Consider the following 3,698-nt stretch of genomic DNA (forward strand, 5'->3'; position numbering starts at 1 on the left):
GAAACCCCGGGAGAGTCCATAGGATGGCTGCAGAATGGAGGGGGTGGGGCCACCCATCCTCTTCCACAGCCCATCTCGAGGCTGCTGCCTGGAGTCTGAGGCTGCCAGAGCCTACCTGGAGTGACTTGGTCCCTCATGGGCTAAGCCTGAGACCCCGGCCCTAGCAGCCGTAATGGCTGCGGCACCGGCACCAGAGCTTCCCTCTGGGCACAGTCCCACACCCAACCACCCGGGGAGCCAGGAAGCACAGAGGCCTATTTTGCATTTAAAAGTCCCATTTGTACATGCAACAGAATATTATGCAGCTATTTAACACGAAGCTGTCAATCTGTATTTATTGACATGGAAAAATGTCCGCAACATATTGTCGGGAGAAAAAATCATTTACACAACAGCATGTGGAGTCTCCTCCTGTTCACTTAAAACCATGTACATATGTGTTTACATTCAGACAGGGATGTCTGGAGAGTGTTCACCACAATAGAACCAGGTTTGTTTCTGGGGGGTAGGGTTTGGGGTTGATTTCTTATTTTCTTTTTGGTTTATTTCTGTGACTGAATTTTTATAATAATAAACCTATATTATACTTAAAAAAAACACAACACTTTTCCAAAAAAAACTCCACTATGCTATTTAGTCAATGTTTTAATAAAGGACATGGGCTGAAGGAGTGTCTTGTTGCCCCCTCTGTGCCTCTCTCTTCCATCCTGCCTCTCTTCCCTAATCCTCCCTCTGATCTCCTCCAAAGACACATGCAGGGGCCTGCCCTGGGGCCAAGGCTTTGGAGTCAGGTGACTCAGGTTGCAATGTCAGCTCTGTAGAAAATGGGCATGAGAATTTCCCATGAGGTTGTTTAAGAACTAAGTAAGATAAATTAGGTGGAGGCCCTGAACTGTCCTCCACCCCCTCCACACTTGGTGTTGAGTGTATCTCCTGGTTGGTGGCAAGCACACCACAGGAATGCAAAGGCCAGAGGTGCAGAAGCCTGGGGAATACAGCCTGTCCCTGGTAGGCAGGAACACTGCCTGGAAGCACCTGTGTCACTCACAACCTCCATAAATGTAAGTTAATGTGCATTTTTAACTAATGCGTTTCTCCAGGGGCTGGCAAACTAAATCCCATAGCCACGTTCAGCCCACAACCTGTTTTCCTGTGGCTGTGGGGCTAAGAATGGTCCTTATGTTTTTAAAGGGTCAAAACAAACCAGAAAAAAAAAAAGAGTATGTGGCAGAGACTATATGTGGCCCTCGAAGTCTAAAATATCGGACTTCAAGTCTAATATTGCATATGTGCTTGCATATACACAAACACACATGGCATTTTGCAGAAAATATTTGCGGACTCCTCTATCCAGTAGTGGCTTAGGAGCAGAGTGCAGGAGCACCTCCATAATACTCTGACGGTGGCAGAGTGACAGCTCATAAGAAGGGGAAACGTCACAAGGAAGAAGCACAGAACTGTCTTTCTGCACCATATAGCGGGTGCGAACGCTCATGTTTCCAAGGCAGGAAGAGAAGCATTATCTTCGAGATCCTCTGGTGAGGGAGGCAGGGATGTGAGTAAGATATCTGGGATGATTTCCATCCCAGAGAGTAAGATGGAGTTTTGGGGTTGAAGGGAAGAGCTTCAATTATGCAGAAAATGTATCCTGTGAGTTGGGTACTGTTATCATCTCTGCTTTGGGAAGTGCACACTTAGAGAGAGAAAGTTAGGTCAAGGTCATACCACTGTGAGCGGAGAGCAGAGATTTGAGCCCAGGCAGCATAACCCTAGGTTCTGTGTCCTAAACTTTGCCTACGCGGTTGTTCTTGGGTAGGTGAGGGTCGGTTAGATGTGGGTCTCCAGGTTCTTCTTGGAACATCAATGACTCATCTAAGTGGACCCCTGGGGGCCACTGGTGCCACCCACCCAATTGGTCAGGTCTGACTGTGAGGCCCAGCTTCTGCAGAGAGGTCAGAGGCCCTTTGTGGAAAGAGGGAAGGGAACACCCACATTCTGGTCACTGGCTAGATGGGCCATGCTGGATGCCCCACATACTACATCATCTCCTTCCATCTTCACAAACACCCGCAGTATCGGGACACTGACCCCATTTTGCAGGAGGAAAATTGAGGCCCCAGGAACTAACACAAAGTCATGCAGACTGTAAATGGCAGGTTCTGGAGTTGAAACTAGCTCTCTCTAATTCCGAAGCCCTTGCCTTTCCTGCTCCACAATGCTGCCTCTTTTGCGGGGTGGGTGGGGGCATCTCCTCCTTGTCTGTCTCTGGGGGCACCTCCTTCTGCACAAGCAGGTATATCAGCAAGTGAGCCGCCTGCTCAGCTCCCACCAACTCTGTCCCACAGAACCTGAGCCAGTCAAGTGTAGCAGGATTGGGTCTGCTGAGGCAGACTAATGAAGCAATTTAAAAACAATCGTTTGGAACACACAGACATCTGGGTAATAATAGACTACAAGACAACTGACCAGCGAATTTTCTCAGGGCCACTAATGGAGCAAGATCTACCTCAGCACATGCAGATGGCAAGAAACTCATTGGCAGTCCCACAGGTATCTTTGTGAGGTTTGGAGATATATCCACTTCACAGGATCAGCCCATCCACTCCTCTGGCATGGCCTGGCTGGGCACTGCACGTGTGTGTCTGAGGAATGCTCCTAAGCAGACACACACAGAAACACAGGTACATTTACAGCTTGACATGATCATGCATATACACAGCTGTGCATACATTTGCATATATGTGGAAGGCCATCAATGCCCACATATACTCTCATGCACATTTGCAAGCACACATGGGCATACACAAACATATATGCATGCACTTCTTGGTAGAATACAATATTGACCCCAATTCACCACCTCTGCCTATATTTCCACTGAGGGGGCAGAATACATTTCCCTGCCCCTTGACTTTGTGCTTGGTCATGTGACTTGCTTTAGCCAATAGAATAAGGCAGATGTGATGGAGTGGCAGTTCCAAGGCTAGGCCTTAAGAGACCTCTTGCCTTTATGTCAATACTATGAAAAGAACATGCCTGGGCTAGCCCTTGGTCCCAGCAGGAAGATGAGACACGTGAAGCAGAGATGCTCCAGCAAAGCCCAGCCTAGATCAGCCCAGCCCAGCCAATGCACAGATGTGTGGCAATGACAAATGGAGTGGTCTGTTATACAGCAAGAGTTAACCAATACACACCCAGAGAGACACATGCACACAGAGACATGTAGAGAGGAATCCTTCATTACCCAGGAGGGACAGGTTCCAGGATCCCCCCAGGTACCAAAATCTGATGATGCTTAAGTCCCTTATATAGAATGGGGTAGTGTTTTTGTATAACCTAGATTACTTACAATACTTAATCCAGTGTAAATAGTTGTTATACTGGATTGTTTTTAAAATTTGTATTATTTTTTATTGTTGCATTGTTATTTTTTAAAAAATATTTTTGATCCTTGGCTGAATTCAAGAATGTGGAACCCACAGATACGGAGCACCTATTGTACATGCATCCAAACAGCCCCCATACACATACATGCATATACCTGCATGTGCACACGCACTCTCCTGCACACACACATTTCCAAACACAAACACCAGGTTACCCACGTGGAAAAGGGCTTATAGGAGACAACAGTGAGAATTAAGCCCTTTCTTATCCCGCCTTCATTTCCAGGAGACTCTCTCTTGCTGCCAGCAGAG

General features: G+C 47.2%; 1 annotated feature.

The window, feature by feature from the left end:
* Positions 2,209-3,408: an enhancer, noted in NCBI's record as "MED14-independent group 3 enhancer chr1:37565375-37566574 (GRCh37/hg19 assembly coordinates)". NCBI's record gives its function as "activates an origin of replication core promoter dependent on BRD2, BRD4, P300/CBP and CDK7 cofactors, and independent of MED14, by STARR-seq in HCT116 cells {active_cell/tissue: HCT116}" and the evidence as "EXISTENCE:reporter gene assay evidence [ECO:0000049][PMID:35650434]".

The sequence above is a fragment of the Homo sapiens genome, chromosome 1 (genome assembly GCF_000001405.40).
Source record: "Homo sapiens chromosome 1, GRCh38.p14 Primary Assembly".
Taxonomy (NCBI): domain Eukaryota; kingdom Metazoa; phylum Chordata; class Mammalia; order Primates; family Hominidae; genus Homo; species Homo sapiens.